Source organism: Homo sapiens, chromosome 19 (genome assembly GCF_000001405.40).
Source record: "Homo sapiens chromosome 19, GRCh38.p14 Primary Assembly".
Taxonomy (NCBI): domain Eukaryota; kingdom Metazoa; phylum Chordata; class Mammalia; order Primates; family Hominidae; genus Homo; species Homo sapiens.
Window position 1 is genome coordinate 42,006,849 of NC_000019.10, and position 22,094 is coordinate 42,028,942.

At 49.9% G+C, this 22,094-nt stretch overlaps 1 protein-coding gene across 9 annotated transcripts in view; it reads right to left on the bottom strand.

Moving 5' to 3' along the window:
- Window positions 1-22,094, bottom strand: part of GRIK5 (glutamate ionotropic receptor kainate type subunit 5) — a 71,883-nt gene that overhangs the window by 8,525 nt on the left and 41,264 nt on the right. For 3 of the 9 annotated variants that reach the window (XM_011526862.3, XM_011526865.2, XM_047438705.1), the window contains 3 exons: window positions 15,393-15,509; window positions 15,099-15,208; window positions 14,453-14,626 (listed from right to left, as the gene is read on the bottom strand). The exons of 1 other annotated variant lie outside the window; for it this stretch is intronic. In XM_011526862.3, coding sequence (XP_011525164.1) covers window positions 14,453-14,626; window positions 15,099-15,208; window positions 15,393-15,509 — 401 coding nt within the window. Of the gene's footprint in view, window positions 1-14,020; window positions 14,337-14,452; window positions 14,627-15,098; window positions 15,209-15,392; window positions 15,510-15,736; window positions 15,825-22,094 lie in introns of those variants that run through there. 5 more of the 9 variants (NM_002088.5, NM_001301030.2, XM_047438706.1 and 2 more) reach the window with 4 other exon arrangements.

Here is a 22,094-nt window from a genome sequence, read left to right on the forward strand (position 1 = left end):
CCCTGCTGACCTGCCCCCGTGGCCATGCCCCCCATTGGTGGTGCCCCTCCCAAGTGACCCCAGCATCTGGAAGACTCAGTGACTGCTGGGTGCAGAAGCGGGGAGTGTGGATTCTGAAGCCAGACTTCCTGGTTGTAAATATTGCATCCGGAGACTTCTACTTCCAGATATAAAAGAGTAAGATGGTCTGGAAATACCCTCCCACCATAAACAGCTAAAGAGCTGGATAGAATACAGGAAACTTTTTTCTTTTTTTTTTTTTTTTGAGACAGATCTTGCTTTGTCAGCCAGGATGGAGTGCAGTGGCACGATCTCAGCTCACTGCAACCTCTACCTTTGGGGTTCAAGTGATTCTCCTGCCTCAGCCTCCCAAGTAGCTGAGATTACAGGTGCCCACCATCACGCCCGGCTAATTTTTGTATTTTTAGCAGAGACGGGGTTTCACCATGTTGGCCAGGCTGGTCTCGAACTCCTGACCTCAGGTGATCCACCTGCCTCAGCCTCCCAAAGTGCTGGGATTACAGGAGTGAGCGACCACGCCCGGCCAGGAAACTATTTAAAACATAGGACAAGAGACATCATAGAACTGTGATCCCTGAGAAGAGAAACAAAATGAGTCTTATTGTCCAGGCTGCTTGGCTGGATTTAATTTATAGGAAGGGAAGCCCAAACAGCCCAGCAATCCTGCTGAGTTGCAGAGACGGAGACTGGTGATCAGGCAGGCCAACATGGCTGGAATTTGGGGGATAGAGTGCCTGAGAGGAGGGAGCTGCAAAGAGAGGGAGGATTCAGAAACCGGTGGTCCCCTTGAGTCTTTGGCTGAATATCAATCTGTGCATGCATGGGGTGAAACTCTGTGGGGCTGGACAAGAGCAACTTTCAAGGAGAAAACAATTCTTAGAGTTGACACAGGGCTGAGAGTCTTTTGAGCTCCCTGCAGCCAGAGTAGAAAGATTTCATTGAATACATGAGACATTCAGTAGAGACCCAAAAGTGTAACATACTAGAAATAGGATTAAGTTAGCCCTAGAATAAAGGCAATGCTAAAGCTGCACTAAAAAAGCTTAAAAACAGGCCTAGAAGTATCAAAGTAATTCACAAGTAACCTAACTAGATTCCAGAAAAAGTTTATAAATACTCTGTAAAAAAATATATTCAGCAATGTAAACAATGTCTGTTATGTAATTTTTTTTTTTTTCTTGAGACAGAGTCTCACTCTGTCACCCAGGCTGGAGTGCAGTGGTGTGATCTTGGCCACTCCCGGGTTCAAGTGATTCTCCCGCCTCAGCTTCCTGAGTAGTTGGGATTACAGGCACCTGCCAGCACGCCTGACTAATGTTTGTATTTTTAGTAGAGATGAGGTTTCACCACGTTGGCAGGTTGGCCTTGAACTCCTGACCTCAGGTGACCTGCCCACCTCGCCCACCCAAGGTGCTGGGATTACAGGCATGAGCCACTGTGCCCGGCCTATTACATAATTTTTTAAAAAAATACCAGGTTGGGCACGGTGGCTCACACCTGTAATCCCAGCATTTTAGGAGGCTGAGGTGGGCGGATTGCTTGAGGCCAGGAGTTCAAGGACAACCTGGCCAACATGGCAATACCCCGTCTCTACTAAAAATACAAAAATTAGCTGGGTGTGATAGCACACGCCTGTGATCCCAGCTACTTGGGAGGCTGAGGCACGAGAATCGTTGGAATCCAGGAGGTGGAGGTCGCAGTGAACCGAGATCACCACTGCACTCTGGCCTGGGCAACAAAGCAAGACTCTTGCCTCAAAAAAAAAGGACCAGGTAAACAAAGGTGCAGGAAAATGTGACCTATAACCAAGAGAAAAATCACTCAATTGAAACAGACCCAGAATTGACATAGATGATGACGGAATTAGCAGACAAGGACATGAAAACAGCTATTATAAATACATTCAGAATGCTCAAGAGTATAAAGAAAAACATGAACGTAATGAAAGGAACAGAAGATATAAAAAGAAGTGAACAGAACTTTTAGAGAATGATATACACATATCTGAAAGAAAAATTTTACTGAAAGGGATTACACAGATTAGACACCGGCAGCAGAAAAGATGAGGGAATTTGGGCCAGGCACAGTAGCTCATGCCTGTAATCCTAGCACACTGGGAGGCCGAGGCAGGAGGATCACTTGAGGCTGGGACTTTGAGATAAGCCTGGTCAACATAGCCAGACCCTGTCTCTACAGAAAAATAAAAAAATTAGATGGGTGTGGTGGTGCCTGCCTACAGTCCCAGCAACTTGAGAGGCTGAGGTGGGAGGATCACTTGAGGCCAGAAGTTTAAGTCTACACTGAGCCTGGTCGTCACTGCACTCTAGTCTGAATGACTAAGTGAGACCTTATCGTTATTTTTTTATTTTATTTATTTATTTATTTTTGAGATAGAGTCTCGCTCTGTCCCAAGCTGAAGCTGGAGTGCAATGGCGCGATCTCGACTCACTGCAACCTCCGCTTCCCGGGTTCAAGCGATTCTCCTGCCTCAGCCTCCTGAATAGCTGGGATTACAGGCACCCGCCACCATGCCCAGATAATTTTTGTATTTTTTGTAGAGATGGGGTTTTGCCACGTTGGCCAGGCTGAGACCTTATCTTTAAAAAAAAAAAAAAAGGCTGGGCGCGGTGGCTCACGCCTGTAATCCCAGCACTTTGGGAGGCCAAGGAGGGAGGATAACCTGAGTTCAGGAGTTTGCGACCAGCCTGACTAACATGGCGAAAACCCTTCTCTACTAGAAATACAAAAATTAGCCAAGTGTGGTGGTGCATGCCTGTAATCCCAGTTACTCAGGAGGCTGAGGCAGGAGAATTGCCTGAACCTGGGAGGTAGAGGTTGCAGTGAGCTCAGATTGTGCCACCGCACTCCAGCCTGGGCAACAGAGTAAGACTTTGTCTCAAAAAAAAAAAAAAAAAAGCCAGGCACAGTGGCTCAGGCCTGTAATTCTAGCACTTTCGGAGGCCGATGGGGGCGGATTGCCTGAGCTCAGGGGTTCTAGACCAGCCTGACCAACATGGAGAAACCCCATCTCTACTAAAAATACAAAATTAGCCGAGCATGGTGGTGCACGCCTGTAATCCCAGCTACTTGGGAGGCTGAGACAGGACAACTGCTTGATCCCAGGAGGTGGAGGTTGCTGTGAGCTGAGATCACGCCACTGCACTCCAGCCTGGGCAACAAGAGTGGAACTCCATCTCAAAAAAAAAAAAAAAAAGATTAGAGAATTTGAAGAACTGCAATAGAATCTATCCAAAATAAAGCACAGAAAGGAAAAAGTGATGAAAATGAGCACAGAGCCTCAATGGCCTGAGAAATAAGTGGCTTTACCTATGTGACTGGAGTTCCAGAAAGAGAGGAGAGAAAGGGATAACCAAAAAAAAGTCTGATGAAGTAATGGCCTACAACTTTTCAAATTTGATGAAAACCATAAACTTGCAGATGTAAGCTCCATAAACCCCAGGTAGGCTAAACACACATATTTATAAAACGCACCAAGACACATTATAATCAATTGCTGAAAACCAGCAATAAAGAGAAACATCTTAAAAGCAGCTAGAAGGGGGGAAACATATTACATTCAGAGAATCAAAGATAACAGTGCCAGTCGACTTCTTGTCAGAGAGTGTGCAAGCCCAAAGATGATGCAACATGCTGAAAGAAAAATCAAAACAAACTGTCAACCTAGAATTCCACAGCAGGCAAAAATATCCCTCAAAGAAGACACACTAACACATTTTTCATACAAAACCAAAGCTGGGAGAATTAATTGCCAGCAGACCCGCACAGCAAGAAATATTAAAGGAAGTTCTGCAGGTAAAAGAAACACAACACCAGATAGAAACGTGGATGTACCAGAAGGGGTGAAGGGCACCCTCTTCAAATGGTAGATTTGTGGGTAAATAGAAAAGATATATTCCTCACTTTCAAATTTCCTTACGAAGCATTTAGTGGTTTGGTTTTGTTTTTGAGACAGGGTCCTGCTCTAGGGTGGAGAGGCGTGAACACAGCTCACTGCAGCCTCAACCTCCTGGACCCAAGCAATTCTCCCACCTCAGCCTCCCACGGAGCTGGGACCACAGGCATGCATCACCATGCCTGGCTAATGTTTCTTAGTTTTTGTAGAGATGAGGTCTCGCTATGTTGGCCAGGCTGGTGTTGGACGCCTGGGTTCAAGGAATCCTCCAGCCTCGGCCTCCCAAAGTGTTGGGATTACAGGCGTGAGCACCACACCCAGCATTTACTATCTAACACACACACACACACACACACACACCCCTAATGTATTGTGGGGTTCATAAGATATGCAGAGCTCAAAGGACGGGAGGGTGAGAGGAACATATCATGTTGTCAAGGTCTTATATCTTACGTGAAATGGTATAATGTTACTTGAAAGTATTTTGTGGCTGGGTGCGGTGGTTTACGCCTGTAATCCCAGCACTTTGGGAGGCCGAGGCAGGAGGATCACGAGGTCAGGAGATCGAGACCATCCTGGCTAACATGGTGAAACCCCGTCTCTACTAAAAATACAAAAAAATTAGCCAGGCGTGGTAGCGGGCGCCTGTGGTCCCAGCTACTCGGGAGGCTGAGGCAGAAGAATGGCATGAACCCGGGAGGCGGAGCTTGCAGTGAGCCGAGATCGCGCCACTGCACTCCAGCCTGGGGGACAGAGCGAGACTCCGTCTCAAAAAAAAAAAAAAAAAGTATTTTGTAATAAATTAAAGATCCATATTGCAAACCCAGAAAACCACTAAGAAAAATAAAACAAAGAAGTACAGTTAACAAGTCAAGAGTAGAGATAAGCAGAATCTTGAAAATCCCAACAGGCCAGGCACAGTGGCTCACGCTGTAATTCCATCACTTTGGGAGGCCAAGGTGGGCAAATTGCTTGAGCTCAGGAGTTTGAGACCAGCCTGGGCAATGAAGTGAGATCCGGTCTCTACAAAAAATTTAAAAAATTAGCTGGGCATGGTAGAGCGCACCTATGGTCCTAGCTACACAGGAGGCTGAGGCAGGAGGATGGCTTGAGCCCAGGAGTCGTGTTCGTGCCACTGCACTCCAGCGTGGGTGACAGAGTGAGACCCTGTCTCAAAAAGAAAAGAAAAGAAAAGTCCCAGTAACCCCCTAAAGGTAGAAAAAGAGGAAAAGGGGAACAAAGAACAGATGGGACAAATAGCAGGTTGGTAGATTTAAACCTAACCATATCAGTAATTACATTAAGGGTAATTGGTTTGAACCAGCGGCTGGCTAACTATGGCCCACAGGCCAAATCTGACCTGCTGTCTATTTTTGTACAGCCCCATAAGCTAAGAATGGCTTTTACATATACATATATGTATATGTATATATACATGTATGTGTATGTATGTATGTATGTATGTATGTATGTATTTATTTATTTGGAGACAGAGTCTCTCTCTGTTGCCCAGGTTGGAGTGCAGTGGCACGATCTCAGCTTACTGCAACCTCTGCCTCCCAGGTTCAAGCAATTCTCCTGCCTCAGCCTCCCGAGTAGCTGGAACTACAGGCGCACACTGCCACGCCTGGCTAATTTTTTGTATTTTAGTAGAGATGGGGTTTCACCTTGTTGCCCAGGTAGGTCTAGAACCCCTGAGCTCAGGCAATCCGCCCGCATCGGCCTCCCAAAGTGCTAGGATTACAGGCATGAGCCACCACGCCCGGCCAGTTTTCACATTTTTAAATGGTTAAAATGAAATCAGAAGAACAGGCTGGGCGCAGTGGTTCACACCTATAATCCGAGCACTTTGGGAGGCCAAGGTGGGTGGATCGCTTGAGCCCAGGAATTGAGACTAGCCTGGGCAACATGGCGAAACCCTATCTCTACAAAAAGTTAGCCAGACTGGGTGGCACGTGCCTGTGGTTCCAGCTACTCAAGAGGCTGAGGTGGGAGGATTCCTTAAGCCTGGGAGGTTGAGGCTGCAGTGAGCCAAGATTGTACCACTGTACTCCAGCCTGGGCAACAGAGTGAGATATTGCCTCAAAAAAAAAAAAAAGGAATATTTTATGACACATGACTTATATAAAATTCAAATTTCAGTGTCAGTATCCATAAATAAAGTTTTATTGGAACACAGCCACACTCATTCATTTAATGTATCATCTACAACAGCTTCTATACTACAATGGAAGATTGAGTAGCTGGAACAAAGACCATATGATCAACAAAGTACAAAATATTTACTTAGGGCCAGAGCAGTGGCTCATGCCTGTAATCGCGGCACTTTGGGAGGCTGAGGCAGGAAGATCGCTTGAGGCCAGGAGTTCAAGACCAGCCTGGGCAACAAAGTAAGAACTCTCTACAAAAAAAAAAAAATGAAAATAATAAAAAATTAGCCAGGCACGTAGTCCTAGCTACTCAGTAGGCGGAGGCAGGAAGATCCCTTGAGCCCAGGAGTTTGAGGCTGTAGGGAGCTATAAACACACAGCACTCCAGCCTAGAGACAGAGCAAGATCCTGTCTTTAAAAAAATAAAAATAAAGATAAATATTTAAAAACATCTTTTTTTTTCTTTTTTTCTTTTCTTTTTTTTTTTTTTTTTTTGAGATGGAGTCTTGCTCTGTCGCCCAGGCTGGAATGCAGTGGGGCGATCTCGGCTCACTGCAAGCTCCGCCTCCCAGGTTCGCGCCATTCTCCTGCCTCAGCCTCCGGAGTAGCTGGGACTACAGGCACCCGCCACCGCACCCGGCTAATTTTTTGTATCTTTTAGTAGAGACAGGGTTTCACCATGTTAGCCAGGACGGTCTCGATCCTCTGACCTCGTGATCCGCCCACCTCGGCCTCCCAAAGTGCTGGGCTTACAGGCGTGAGCCACCGCGCCCGGCCTAAAAGCATCTTTACTTAGAGAAAACATAAATGTTTGAGGTGATGGATTTCCCAATTACCCTGATCCCAGCATTTCAGGATGCTGAGGTGGGAGGACTGCTTGAGCCCAAGAGTTTGAGACCAGCCTGGGCAACACAGTGAGACTTCGTCTCTACCAAAAATAAAAAAATTTAGCCGGGTGTGGCGTCGCACACCTGTGATCCCAGATACACAGGAGGCTAAAGTGGGAGGATCACTTGAGCCTGGGAGGTTGAGGCTGCAGTGACCTGTGATCACACTACTGCACTCCAGTCTGAGTGACAGAACAAGACTCCATCTCAAAAAAAAAAAAAAAAAATCACCTGTACTCCCAAAAATATGTACAACTATTACATATAAATAAAATTTAAAAGAAAAATTACTGGCCAGACACGGTGGCTCACACCTGTAATCCCAGCACTTTGGGAGTCTGAGGCGGGTGGATTGCCTGAGCTCCAGAGTTCAAGACCAGCCTGGGCAACATGGTGAAACCCCATCTCTACTAAAATACAAAAAATTAGCCAGGCGTGCTGGCGTGCGCTTGTAGTCCCAGCTACTTGGGAGGCTGAGGCAGGAGAATTGCTTGAACCTGGGAGGCAGAGGTTGCAGTGAGCTGAGATCGTGCTGTTGCACCACTGCACTCCAGCCTAGGCAACAGGTCAAAACTCCATCTCAAAAAAAAAAAAATTTTACTATCTGGCCCAATGCAGAAAAAATTGGCCAAACCTTGCTCCAAGGCCTAAGTATACACTGTTTATAAGAAACACACTTGGGGCTGGGCATGGTGGCTCATGCCTGTAATCCCAGCACTTTGGGAGGCAGAGGCAGGTGGATCACTTGAGGTCAGGAGTTTGAGACCAGCCTTGCCAACATGGTGAAACCCTGCCTCTACTAAAAATATAAAAATTAGCTGGGTGTGGTGGCATGAACCTGTAGTCCCAGCTGCTTGGGAGGCTGAGGCAGGAGAACCACCTGAACCCAGGAGGTGGAGGTTGCAGTGAGCTGAGATCACACCATTGCACTCCCCAATACTCACCACACACTTGGTCAGGTGTGGTGGCTCATAGCTGTAATCCCAGCACTTTGGGAGGCCAAGATGGGAGAATCACTTGAGCCCAGGAGTTGGAAACCTGCCTGGGCAACAAAGTGAGACCCTATCTCTATTTAAAAGAAAAGAAAAGGAATGCTCTTTAAATATAATAATCTAGATGGGCCGAGACTAAAAGAATGGGGAAAAGATATGCTATGCAAACATTAAGCCTCAGAAAGCCAGAGTGCCTATATTAGTATCAAAAAATGTTAACTTCAGAACACAGAATGTTACCAGGAATAAGGAGAGACATTATATAATGACATGGGTCAATTCACCTAGAGGACATAAGAGTCCTAAACATTTGTGCGCCTAATTACAAAGCTTCAACATGCATGAGGCAAAAATGGATAGAATTGAAGAGAAACGGATAAATTTCCTGCAATTACAGGGTGAGATTTCAAAACTCCTCTCAATAATTGATGGAACAAGTAGAAAATCAGTAAGGATAGAGAAGACTTGAATAACATGATCAACCTACTGGCCCCAATGGACCCTTATAGAACACTGCACCACCAACAGCAGAAACACATTCAGTGCAACTCCACATAGAACAGTTACCAGGACAGACCATATGCTGAGCTCTAAAGCAAGTCTCAATAAATTTAAAAGGATTAAAGTCCTCTAGAGAATGTTCTCTGACCACGATGGAGCTAAATTAGAAATCAATCATAGAAAGATCTCTGGAAAATCCCCAAATCCTGTCTTCTCCATCAATGCCTTGCTGCGTGACCTTGGAAGTGTGCTGCAGTTTCCTCACCTGTGAAGTTAGTACAATTGTAGGCCCTTCCTCACTGGGTTTTGTGAAGAGTGACTGAGTTCATCCGGCACACAGCAAGTGCTATGCAAGTGTTTTCTCTCATTGTCTTGGTGACACAGGACCGACCCGGGAGAATAGGCTCCCACCAGCCTGGCTGCAGGACCCCAGAGCAACCACTTGTCTTACCGTGGCCCCCTCTGTCCTCCCTCCTGGCAAGTAAGAATGGCCAGGGTCCCTGTAGACCATATAGATCTGAGGGGCCTGAAGGCAGAGGAGATGCTGAAAAGGGCCTCCCAGACCTCCCACCCTCACATTCCCAGCACGTAATAATGAAAACAGCAATGTCCTCCACAGAACACATGTGCAAAGCTATGCTAGGCACTGGGATGGGGATGGAGTGAGGGCTTGATAGAGAGACATGAATTAAACAGCCTCCTGAAAAATAAAACCAAAACCCCAAGACACAAAGACCCAGGGACTGACTCAACCTCTCCAGAAACCAAGTCTCTCCAAACCCATCTTACAGGTCAATGCTGCCATTCATGCAAAACAAAATTATTTGGCCAGGCACAGTGGCTCACGCCTGTATCCCAGCACTTTGGAAGGCCGAGGTGGGTGGATCATCTGAGGTCAGGAGTTCAAGACCAGCCTGGCCAACATGATGAAACCCCGTCTCTACTAAAAATACAAAAAATTAGCCAGACGTGGTGGCTGGCACCTGTAATCCCAGCTACTCGGGAGGCTGAGCCAGGAGAATCGCTTGAACCCGGAAGGTGGAGGTTGCAGTGAGCCGAGATCGTGCCACTGCACTCTAGCCTGGGCAACAAGAGCAAAACTCCATCTCAAAAATAAAAAAATAAAAACAAAACAACAACAACAAAAATTACTCAGTGCCTGGTACACACCATGCACCCTCTGGCCCCTGAGGACACAGTGTGGATGACTGGTGGTGGTGATGGGGCCACTCACTAAGGCAGCAGAGGGAACACAGACTGGGAGTCAGATTTGGGAGTAAAGACATGAGCTCTGTTTTGCACAAGGTGAGTTTGGAGATGCCTGTTGAGCTCCCAAGAGGAGCAATCCCAGGGGGCTGGACACATGGAGGGGTCTAGAGATGACTTCGGAAGTGTTAGTATGCGCATAGCATGGGAAGTCCAGCAGCAGGTGAGATGGCCCCTGACAAGGTGTATGGAACAGTGGTCTCTGGCAGGGAGGGCACCCTGGGAGGTGTTTGGTAAAGTGTGGGCCACTGGTGCTCAGCGTAGGACAGCCGGATAATTCGAGGCCTGGTCTGAACAATGGGGAATACCTGTTCTGTGATTATCTGAGCCTAACTCCTTGGTACATTAAAAACCCAAGTTTTTTTTTTTTGCATGATTATAATATAAACCAAAATCTCCAGAAATGCACCTCTTGTTTTAATCGAGGGATGACTGGATGTTGTTTTGTTTGGAACTTTGCTGAGAGCTGCTCACCGTTGGGGGAAATCATCTGTCTCTGACAGCAACTCCACTCGAACTCAAGACCCAAGTCAAGACCCTTGCACCAGCTGCATTAGCAAATCATCACGTTCACAGTGACTTGTATTTGCACAAACATACTCATTTGTCAACTATTTCGATGTGTCAGATATCAAGTGGCAACATAATTCTGTTAAATGATCTTACTTCTCATCATGCCACTTACTCATTCTAAGCAGGCGCCGACTGTCGCATTCTGTCTTCTGGCATAGCCACACCCAGGCATTTGTGTATTGCCATAATATTATTTTATTGGAAGTCACTTCCCTGCTTTTTCCCCTTCATATTGCAATTATGGCGTTAAATTGATTTTTTACAAATTATGTGTGTAGGAAGATATATTACCCTTGAATTTCAGCTCAGTGTGGAAAAGGACGTATTAAAAAATATTTGTTATAAAAAGAGGGTGTTGGGTCTGCAAGCACTGAAAACTCACTAGTGTGAGTGAGAAGCCCCATTTGAGGGGTGGCAAAGGCAAAAGGAACCCACAGCAAATGAAACAGGACCAGAGAGGTTGGAGGAAACCAGGAGGACACAGAGCCTAGAAGCAAGAAGAGAGTTTCTAGAAGGGTGGCTAACCGGGCGAATGCTGCCTGGAGGTAAGACAGAGGCTGGAGGCATGGATAAGGGGTCGCATGTGCGCCTGGTGCAGCTGGGGTTGGGGGAAGGCAGGCAAAGCCAAGCTACTGGCTAGATCTGAGGTTTTGTGGTTTTCTGGCCAGGAGGGCGTGAGGAAAGGAGGACCTAGGGAAAAGTTGAGGACAATGGCTGCAGAGACAGCCTAGGAGCCACCTGGAGATGGACGAGTGAAAGCAGGAAGGGCTCAGAGAATGGAAACAGGGAGGTCAGAGGACTCATCGCACCAAGTGACCAAGGGAGAGTTGGGAGGGATGGGGGCCATGGTCAGAGTGAAACCTTAGAAATACTGACTCCCGGCTGGGCGTGGTGGCTCACGCCTGTAATCCCTGCACTTTGGGAGGCCAAGGCGGGTGGATCACGAAGTCAGGAGATCGAGACCACCCTGGCTAACATGGTGAAACCCCATCTCTACTAAAAAAAAAAAAAAAAAAAAAAAAATCAGCCAGGCATGGTGTTGGGCGCCTGTAGTCCCAGCTACTCGGGAAGCTGAGGCAGGAGAATGGTGTGGACCCGGGAGGTGGAGCTTGCAGTGAGCCGGGATCGCACCACCACACTCCACGCTGGGCGACAGAGCGAGACTCTGTCTCAAAAAAAAAAAGAAAAGAAAAGAAAAGAAATAAAGAAATGTTGCTTCTCAGCCAGGTGCCGTGGCTCACACCTGTAATCCCAGCACTTTGGGAGGCCGACCCAGGTGAGTGGATCACTTAAGGTCAGGAGTTAGAGATCATCCTGGCCAACACGGCAACACCCCATCTTTACTAAAAATACAAAAATTAGTGAAGCAAGGTGGTGCACGCCTGTAATCCCAGCTACTTGGGAGGCTGTGGCAGGAGAATCACTTGATCCCGGGAGGTGGAGATTGCAGTGAGCTGAGATCGTGCCACAGCACTCCAGCCTGAGCAACAAAGCAAGACTCTGTCTCAAAAAAAAGCGGGGGGGGGGGGGGGGGGGAGGAAAAGAAACGTTAACTCCTGAGGCAGAGCTGTCCTGAATAGTGACAAGCCCTCAGGTGTGGCTGCAGGAGGCTGTGGGCTGAGGGGGCCCTGGAGAGGAGGGGCCCAGGTAGTGGGCTGTGGCCAGGCTGCTGCAGATCAGCTACCAGGCAAGTCCTCGAGGGTGATGGCACCAAATCTCACCCCCTACACTGGACCCTGAGTCCCACGAGGGCGGGGACTGGCCTGCTGAATCATGGTGCTAAGTCACATCTGAAGATTCTCAAACATCTGCTGAATGAGTGAATGTGTGGGAGGACTTTGGGTGCAGAAGAGAGTGGGCCCCAGGGCCAAAGGCTCCGATGAGGGAGGGAACATGAGTGGGGGCTGTCTGGGTGACAGCGATGGGAAGGGGCAGAAAACAGCTGGCTAGAGAGTGTGACTCTCAGGAAGAGGGCCCCTGGCTGGGCGGCAGAAACAGTGGCCAGCAGAGATGAGGGCACTGGTCTCCCCCAACCCTCCTGTGAGGACGCCACTAGATTTGTCATGGCAGGTCTCCTAGGCGCCCTCCCAGCACCTCACACACCTGGCCCTCTCCCTCTGTCTAAAATGCTCCTCCCTCTCCTTGGCATGGACGACTCTGTTTCTGCCTTTAGGACTCAACCCAGTTCACCTCCTCAGGGGACCCTTCTCTGACTGCCCCCATGCTCTACTGTTCTCTTACTGTATCCTGTTTGGTTCCTCAATAGCACATTTTATGTGCATCTGCAACATCATTATATGGAAAATATTAGTACATTTCACTTGGACTGTGTGGCCGGCAGAATAGGCCCCGCCCACCAGCACCAAAGAAGTCTCTATCCTAATCCCCAGAACACATGAAGATGTGACCTTACTCAGCAAAAGAGACTTTGCAGCTGTGATTAAGTTAAGGATCTGGATATGGGGGGATTACTCTGGATTATCCAGGAAGGCCCAAAGGAATCACAAGGGTCCTTAGGAGTGGAAGAAGGAAGTTAGAGAGAGAGATTTGTGGATCCTATGCTGCTGGTTCTGAAGATGGAGGAAGGGGCCACAAACCAAGGAATGCAAGTGGCTTCTAAATGCTGGAAAAGGTAAGGAAACAGATTCTCCCCCTGGAGCCTCCAGAAGGAACTAGCCCTGCCAGGAACTTGATTTTACGCCATTGAGATCTATTTCAGACTTCTGACCTCCAGAACTATAGGATAATGTGTATTGTTTTAAGCTACCAAATTTGTGGTAACTTTTTGCAGTAGCAATAGGAAACAAACAGAGCTTTCATTGGGTTTTTTTGGGGGTTTTTTTTTTTTTTTTCATTTGAGACAGTCTCACTCTGTCATCCAGGCTGGAGTGCCGTGGCACGATCACAGCTCACTGTAGCCTCAACATCCCAGGCTCAAACAATCCTCTACAGGGTTATAATTTGAAATGATACCCATCCAAAACCATTTAAAAAAGCCATCAAGACTCGCAAGTGTCCAAGCCAGTGGACCAAGTGAATTGCTAATGCCTGCCATACCACAGTTAGTTCTACTTAGTTAGGAGAAGGGAAAAACCTGCCACCTATTAAGGTTAGTCTTGACTTGAAAAAGGCACAAATTAAATAATATCTTTGGGACCTATTCTTTGAATAAAATAGGATGTCCAGTGTTGATTTATCTGTTTACTTGTTTATTCTCAGCTCCTCTGCCTCTCCAGGACAGGAATGGGGCTGATTCCTCACCTGAGTGCCTGGCACATGGACAGGCTCAACAGGCATCTGTGAAATTGTTAGAGGCGTGTGAACCAGAGCAACTCCATCTTGAATAGGAGCTGGGTAAAATGAGGCTGAAACCTACTGGGCTGCATTCCCAGACGTTTAAGGCATTCTAAGTCACAGGATGAGATAGGAGGTTGGCACAAGATACAGGTCATAAAGACCTTGCTGATAAAAGGGGTTGCAGTAAAGAAGCCAGCTAAAACCCACCAAAACTAAGACGGCCACAAGAGTGACCTCCAGTCATCCTCACTGCTACACTCCCACCAGCGCCATGACAGTTTACAAATGCCATGGCAACGTCAGGAAGTTAACCTATATGGTCTAAAAGGGGGAGGCATGAATAATCCACCCCTTGTTTAGCATGTCATCAAGAAATAACCATAAAAATGGGCAACCAGCAGCCCTCAGGGCTGCTCTGTCTTTGGAGTAGTCATTCTTTTATTTATTTATTTATTGAGACAGAGTCTTGCTCTGTTGCCCAGGCTGGAGTGCAGTGGGGAGTTCTCAGCTCACTACAACCTCCGCCTCCTGAGTTCAAGCAATTGGAGTAGCCATTCTTTTATTCCTTAGCAGCCTCACTGAATCCTCACAACCCTGAGACATGGGCATCTTTCTCCCCATCTTTCAGGGAGGTCACTGAGGCAAAGGGAGGGTTGCGGTCTGGCCAAGCTCACATAGCCAGTAAGCGGCAGAGCTGGAGCTCAGCTCTCCCCACCCCATTCCTCGTCACACAGCTCTGCAAGGGAAAACGGGGAATCAAATCTTCCAGGAGATGCCACAGCCCCAACCCCATCCAGGCCTCAGATGGGTCCCTCCCTCGCCCCGGGCAGAGGCAGATAGAAAGCTTCTCACCAGACTCCGCTGACACAGCGCGTGGACAGCGCCCGGGGCATGATCTCCGAGCCCTGCTGCATGAAGCCCCCCACGGGAAACCACAGGCTGTTGCCCAGCGTGTACTGGTTCTCCAGGATGTGGGGGCGTGCCCGCAGGCATGGGTGTGGGTTATACCACTCATAGGGGCTCAGCCTGTGGAGAGACGTGCAGCGTGTGGATGGGGCCCAGAGCCCAGGTGGGGAGGAAAAGGAAAGAAGCAAAGGAAAGTCACAGTGATCAGAAGAAAGGGGGAGAGATGGAAAAAGGAGCAAGATGGACAGAAGCACACAGAGAAAAGGCAGAGAGAGATGCACAGAGATGGAGACAGAAGAGGCAGAGAGAGACACAGAGATACTCAGAGAGAAATAGAGAAGGGAGGAGGCAAAAAAGGGAGAGGCGGGAAGGGGAGAGACCTGAACAGAGAACCACAGAGCACAGTCAGAGCCACAAGGGGAAGAATGAGACTCAGACACAGGGCACAAAACTGAGAAAGGAGGGCACAGGGAATCCGAGGCCCCAAAGGGGAGGCCAAGGACAGTTCCGAGAGAGAAGAGGCAGGTCGGTCCCAGAGGCCTCGGCTCGTGCCTCCTCCAGCCCCTTCCTTCCCAGTAGGCAGTGGACTCACCTGGCAGCCAGAAACAGGACGCAGCTGACAGCCAGGTAGGCAAGAAGCATGAAGAGCCACACAGCAGGGGAGAAGGGGTCCAGGAAGGAGAAGTAGCCAGGCTTGCGGCCCTGTGGGGAGAGGGAGTGAGACCCGGAGACACCCCTGGCCTGAGCCTCACACCCAGCCCCTGCCCTACCAGGGACCTGGGAGCCTGACCGGCCCATCTGAGGTCCTGGGGCTGTCTGGCTCCCACTCGCAGGCCCTGAGCCTCCATGCCAGGCAAGCAGCCCATGGTCTCCAGGGGAACCATACCATGTGCACTCGGTAGAGGATGCTGATCCCCAGGGTCATAAAGGGCTTGGAAAAGTCGATGACCTTCTCCCGCTCAGCTGTGATGGTGAAGGCGGCCACAGCCAGGTCTGCCTTCTGCTGGAGGGGAAGCCGGGCAGGGGTGGAGGGGGACAGAGGGGAAGACAGAAGTGGACAGTTAGAGAGAAATGCACGGAGAGTGAGCAACTGAGGGAGGCGAGAGAGAGAGAGGTAGGGAGGGGGAGGGGCCAGGAGCATGGACTGACTCCAGGAGCCCACCTTGGGCCTGAAATCGGACCCTCATCGCATGTCCATCCTCATCATCTCACGTCTCCAGACACACTGACTCCGTCCCCTAGGCCTCAACTGTGTCCCAGCATCAAGGGCTGGGGATGGAGGGGTTCCCCAAACTCCAATTCAAGCAGCAACTTCTCCCTAGGGCCATAAAAGAGCCAAGGTCCTGAAGGGGCTGAGACTGACAGCACTCGAGATAATACAGGCCCGGACAGAACACAGAGCAGGGAGAGAGGAGGCAGGGCCCAGAAATGACCCCGGGTGGGGAGGAAGGGTGCAGGTCAGCATGTGCCCACAGCCAGTGGAGACATAACCCAGGCCCCGGCCCAGTGTATAGTCAGGGAGATAGGGCACAAGCCCCAAACAGCATCCTGGTCAGGAGACGACACTGGTACCAAAGCACAACCCTGGATGAAGGAGGGATGGCCCAGGCCCAAAACTTCAGCTGGAATCAGAAATAGATGGCACAGGACCCAGATACAAACCCAAGGTTGGTGAGAGATGGCACAGGCACAAATGATAACCACCAGGTAGAGAGAGGTGGCACAGGCTGAAAACAAAATCCACGGTCAAAGAGAGAGCAGACAGGCCCACTGTGAAATCCAGGGTCGGGGAGAAAGGACACAGACCCCAAAGATGACCCCAAGCAGAGAGGGAGATGGCGCAGGCTAAACAGCTAAAGCCGGGTACGGGAGAGATGGCACCAGCCTCGATAAAACCGAGGAGCAGAGTGAGACAGCACAGCCCTGAAGCATCATCCAGAGGCGGCAGTGTGGCAGGGGCCCAGAATGTGGATTCGGAGAATCTCTCTGGGAATTCCTGGGTGTTGAGCATAGGGAGCTTCCATCCCCTTTGTTGTACACTTGCCACTTTTATGACTAATACGTGAATTGTCGTGGAAATCATCACAGCTAATATAGGACTCCAATTATTTTAAGCACCCACTGGGGGTCTGTCCTAGCAAGGCCCTGCATGGTGGCCACATCCTCATTTCAGAGAGGAGGAAGCAATGGCCTTTCAGGTGGGCTCCAGTCCTGGGGCCAGGAGCTCAAGACCCCACTTCCTCCTGAAAGCCTAAGGGCCCCCATCCTTTGTTCCCACACTGGCCTTCTCCTCACTCATTCCTGGGGCCATGCCTCGGGCCAGACACCTGCCTCTTGCTGGGCTGGGCAAGGACAGGGGCTCTGCTCCCGAAACACTCCTCAGATCTGTCCATTTCTCTACAACTCCACCACCCGGGCCTGGGCCACTGGTATCTCACTCCTGACTACAGCACTGGCCGCCTCATCGGCGCCCCCTGCCGCCACTCATAACCTCCCAGTCCATTCCTCACATATAAGCCAAGAGGACAGTCTCCTGTTTAAAACCTGCCATGGCTTCCCCCAGCACTTAAGACAAAACCTTCTCATGGCCAAGAGGCCCTGGCGACCTAGGGCTCAGCTGCCCTGCCAGCCTCCCCTCATATCTTCTGTCTTGCCAGCTGTGCTCCAGCCATGATGGCCCGTTCTTTCCTCAATGCAGCAGGCTCATGCCCGCCTCAGAGCCTTTGCACATGCTCTCCCCCAAGCTCTTCTTCCCCGTTCCAGGCTCCCATCACACCCACCCCTTCAGCCCTCCCCAAAGCAGCCTCCAGACCCCACCTCACTCCCACTCTAGGGTCTCTCTCACATTCCCCATTGGCCCTTTTTTTTTTTTTTTTGAGATGGAGTCTCACTCTGTCACCCAGGCTGGAGTGCACTGGTGCAATCTCAGGTCACTGCAACTTCTGCCTCCTGGGTTCAAGCAATTCTCCTGCCTCAGCCTCCCGAGTAGCTGGGATTACAGGGGCATGCCACCATGCCCGGCTGATTTTTGTATTTTTTGTAGAGACGGGGTTTCACCATATTGGTTAGGCTGGTCTTGAACTCCTGACCTCAGGTGACCTGCCCACCTCAGCCTCCCAAAGTGTTGGGATTACAGGCGTGAGCCACCGCGCCTGGCCTCATTGTCCTGTTCTTAGCACGACTGGAGATGGCCTTACTCAGGTGCTTGGTAATAGGCTGTCTTCACTCCATACAGGTTCCTTGCCTGTCTGGCTCAGTGAGGCAGCCCAGAGCCCGCAGAGAGCAGGTTCCCAACAGATCCTGCTCGGGTTTGACCGAGTACAGCCTCTCTGACTGGCATTCCAGGCAGCCGACGGCTCCCCCACCGCATTCCTGGGCCACTCGCCACCCCTCTCTCTCGTGCCAGCTTCTTTCTGGCTACGCCTGAGGCGCCTGTCCACTCTGTAGAGCTGGATCCCATCCATCCCTCCAGGGCTCCTCACACCTTCACTCCTCTGGGAAGCCATTCATGGACCCCCACTCCCTGGACACCACTTGATCTCAACAACTTGCTCAATTTGGAAAATATCTGTCTCTTCTCTGCCTCTGCTGCTAAACCACAGGCGTTTCAGAAGCAAGGCCAGCTGGACATGTCATGTGTTTCTGGCACTGCTCAGGGGCCAGCTTAGAGCAGGATCTGCTGTGTCTCATGTCCCATCCTCCTCCGCTGAAACCCAGGAATGTTGCTGCTTCCTCTGGGGCCCTCCCAGATGCAGAGACCTCTTCTTCCCTGGTGCCACAATGAAACCTCACGCAGTCAGACGCTTGCATGCACACAGCACTTACCCCATGCAGCCACTGTCCCAGGGTTTTCCCCAGAGTAGACTGGTCCCCAGAGCAACCCAATGCAGAGGGACCTCCATTTCTACCATTCTACGCATGAGGAAACTGAGGCACAGAGACTAAGCCTCTTGCCACAGTTGACCCTTGGATTCGGAACCACTCCCCTCCTAGGGGCTTTATCTGCCTGCTGCCCTGGTCGCTCCATGGCTGGGGGTGTCTGAGGTCTGGCCCAGGTGAGTGACTCCTCCCTGGATCCCAGGGAGTTCAAGAAATGAGGGCTGACTGATGGGAGGAGTCAGTGAGTCCTTGAACCTCTGGCCAATATGGCGGCGGCAGCAGCCTCCACCTCTCCCTGACACTGCTCCACATCCAGTCTTCCAGCCAGCACCATCCCAGACAGAAACATGGGGGTTGTCCTGTACACAGCCTCTCCCTCACCCCTCACTGCATCCATCCTCAAGCCTCCTGATTTTGACCCCTAAACACCTCCGGAACGGAGTCACTGCCCTCTGCCTCCACTGCCCACACCCGCCCAGGCCACCATCTCTGACTGAATAGCTGGTCTCTGCCTCCCAGGACACACAGCCTGCAGCCCCAGAGATACCAACATATGACAGTCTGGTCACAGTATTTTCCTGCTTAGATTCTGCAACGGGCTGGGCACAGTGGCTTATGCCTGTTAACCCAGCACTTTGAGAGGCCGTCAGGAGGATTGCTTGAGCCAAAAGTTCAAGATCAGCCAGGGTAATGTAGCAAGACCCCATCTCTACTAAAACTAAAAATAAATAAATAAATTCTGCAATGACTCTGCTTGTTTGTATTTTTCTTTTTAGAGACAGTGTCTTGCTTTGTTAACTAGGCTGGAACACAGTGGTGCAATCATAAGTCACTGCAGCCTTGAACTCCTCAAGTGATCCTCCCACCTCAGCCTCCTGAGTAGCTGGGACCACAGGTGCGAGCCACTACGCCTGACTAATTTTGTTTATTTCTTAGAAAGACCAGGGTCTGGCTATGTTCCCCAGGCTGGTCTCGAACTGCTGGGCTCAAGTGATCCTCCTGCCTCAGCCTCCCAAAGTGCTTGGATTACAGGCATGAGACACAGCGCCTTGTTCTTTTTATTATTATTATTATTTTTTAGACCAAGTCTTGCTCTGTAGCTCAACCTCTGCCTCCTGGGTTTCAGCAATTCTCCTGCCTCAGTCTCCCGAGTAGCTGGGACTACAGGCAGATGCCACCACACCTGTCTAATATTTTTTTAGTAGAGATGGGGTTTCACCACGTTGGCCAGGTTAATCTCGAACTCCTGACCTCAGGTAATCCGCCTGCCTCAGCCTCCCAAAGTGCTGGGATTACAGGCATGAGCCACCGCACCCGGCCCTATTTATTATTATTATTATTATCATTATTTTTGGAGACGGAGTCTCACTTGTCACCCAGGCTGGAGTGCAGTGGTGCAATCATGGCTCAGTGCAACCTCCACCTCCCGGGCTCAAGCAATTATCCTGCCTCAGCCTCCCGAGTAGCTGGGATTACAGGTGAATGCCACCATGCCCAGCTAATTTTTGTATTTTAGTAGAGAAGGGGTTTCGCCATGTTGCCCAGGCTGGTCTTGAACTCCTGACCTCAGGTGATCCACCTGCCTCAGCCTCCCAAAGTGCTGGGATTACAGACATGAGCCACTGCACCCAGCCACCTTGTTCTTAAACTGTCATCCAAATGCCTCACCCGACCCAATGAGGCCCTAACTACACCTATCACCTCAATAAGACTATGTGCCATGCCTGTTCCCCTTATGAGACTCTGTCTTACACCTGGCCCCAAAACGTCCCGCACCATCCAACCCCCACAGCCTCATCCCCTACCATCTTGCCCTGTGTCCCACATTGCAGCCACACTGCCCTTTCCATTTGTTCATTCTTTCATTTATTTACCTGCCTGACAAATATTTGTATAGCGCCCTCCACTAGCCCAGCACAATTCTAGCTTTGGGGATACGGCGGTGAATAGAAACATACAACGTCAGGTAGTGACAAGTGCTGTGATGAAAAATCAAGCAGGCAGCAAGAGAGAGACTCGAGGGAGATGCTGTTTTGGATCTGCTCCCCACTGTTGCAAGGGGGGTCTTATTTGAATAGCAACATGAAGGAAGTACAGAAAAGGCAGGAGAAGACCTAGGGGGAAGGTTCCAGGCTGAGTGATCAGCGGGTTCAGTCCCTAAGGTGGGAAGAGACTTGCAGCATCCAGCAAGGCTGGAGCAGAATAGGAGGGCCTGGGAAGGCAGCAGAGTGGGGCCAAGAGCCTGGCAGGGCCTTGCGGGCCACAGTAAGGTAACTGGATTCTGCACCTTGGGCAATGGAGGACATTGCATGAGGATGTCATATAGGAAGGTGTGAACAGAGGGTGACATTATCAGACCACAGGCACAAGAGTGGATGTGGGAACCAGGGAGCCAACTGCAGATGCCCATCACAGTGCTGGGGGCAGGACTGAGTGGCAGCACTGGTGGTGGAGAGAGACAGTGAGATTTGGGTCTCATCTGAAGGTGTGATGGAAGGATCCTAAATGCTGCAAGTTCTTCCTAGGCTCCTCCCAGAGCCTTTGGAGCCCCCTTCCCTCCTCCTACTCACTTTTCATTTCTAAAAGAAAGGCTTATTTATTTGTTTTTGTTTTTGAGACAGGGTTTTGCTCTGTCACCCAGGCTGGAGTTTAGTGGTGTGAAAATGGCTCACTGCAGCCTCAAACTCTTGGGCTCAAGCGATTCTCCTATACCTCAACCTCCTGAGTAGCTGGGACTATAGGTGTGTGCCACCTCGCCTGGCTAATTTTTTCATTTTTTGTAGAGACGGGGGTCTTACTATGTTGCCCAGGCTGGTCTTGAACTCCTTGGCTCAAGCAATCCTCCCACCTTGGCTTCCCAAAGTGCTAGGATTACAGGCGTAAGCCACCATGCATGGTAAAAGACCTATTCCTTAGAGATGACTTCCCCACCCTGACATATACCCTCTAGCCCCTACCCTGACGGGCCCCCTCACAGTTATTTAATCTCTGAAATGAAATCAGGAAGAATTTGAATGACAAGTCACCTGTAATGATGGGGGGGGGGTGTCATCTAAATGCCCAAAGCCAATCAAAGCACTTGTGATAGTCCCTCAGCTCCCAACCCATCCTGTATACCCTGTTCTGTGTAAACCATATTCCTGCTTTGCCTGCTGCGCCCTGCCAGGCTCTGCCAATAGGGGGCGCTAGCGGGAGGTTGCCAGACTGAGGAGGGAAGAGGGATTGCTCCTTCCTGTCTCCTCTCCCACCCCAGCCACCTTCTGCCCCTCCTGGCAGCATCGTTTCTTCTCCTGGCAGCAGATGAATCCGGTGTGCAGCTTCCCAATATCTACAAACCCATCTCATCCAGCCTCTCTCCAGAACCCAGCACCAGCTGTAAGCACCTCTCCCCAGGGTCTGACTTTCAGCTCCACAGAGCCCTTCCTCTAAGTTTCCAAGAGTTTCAGCTCTTCCCTTTCTTCCTTCAGAACTAGGGATGTGGCCACTTCCTGCCATGATACCTCCATGACACCTGAGAGTGAGGGGTGGGAAAGCTATGGCCCTTGGGCCAAGTCCAGCCCATCTGCCTGCCTTTGTACATAAAGTTTTATTGGAACACAGTGATGCCCACTATATTGTCCATGACTACTTTCCATACAACAGAAGAGCTAAGGAGTTATGACAGTAAGGCCTTAAAGCTGAAAATACTTACACTCTTGGCCAGAAAAAG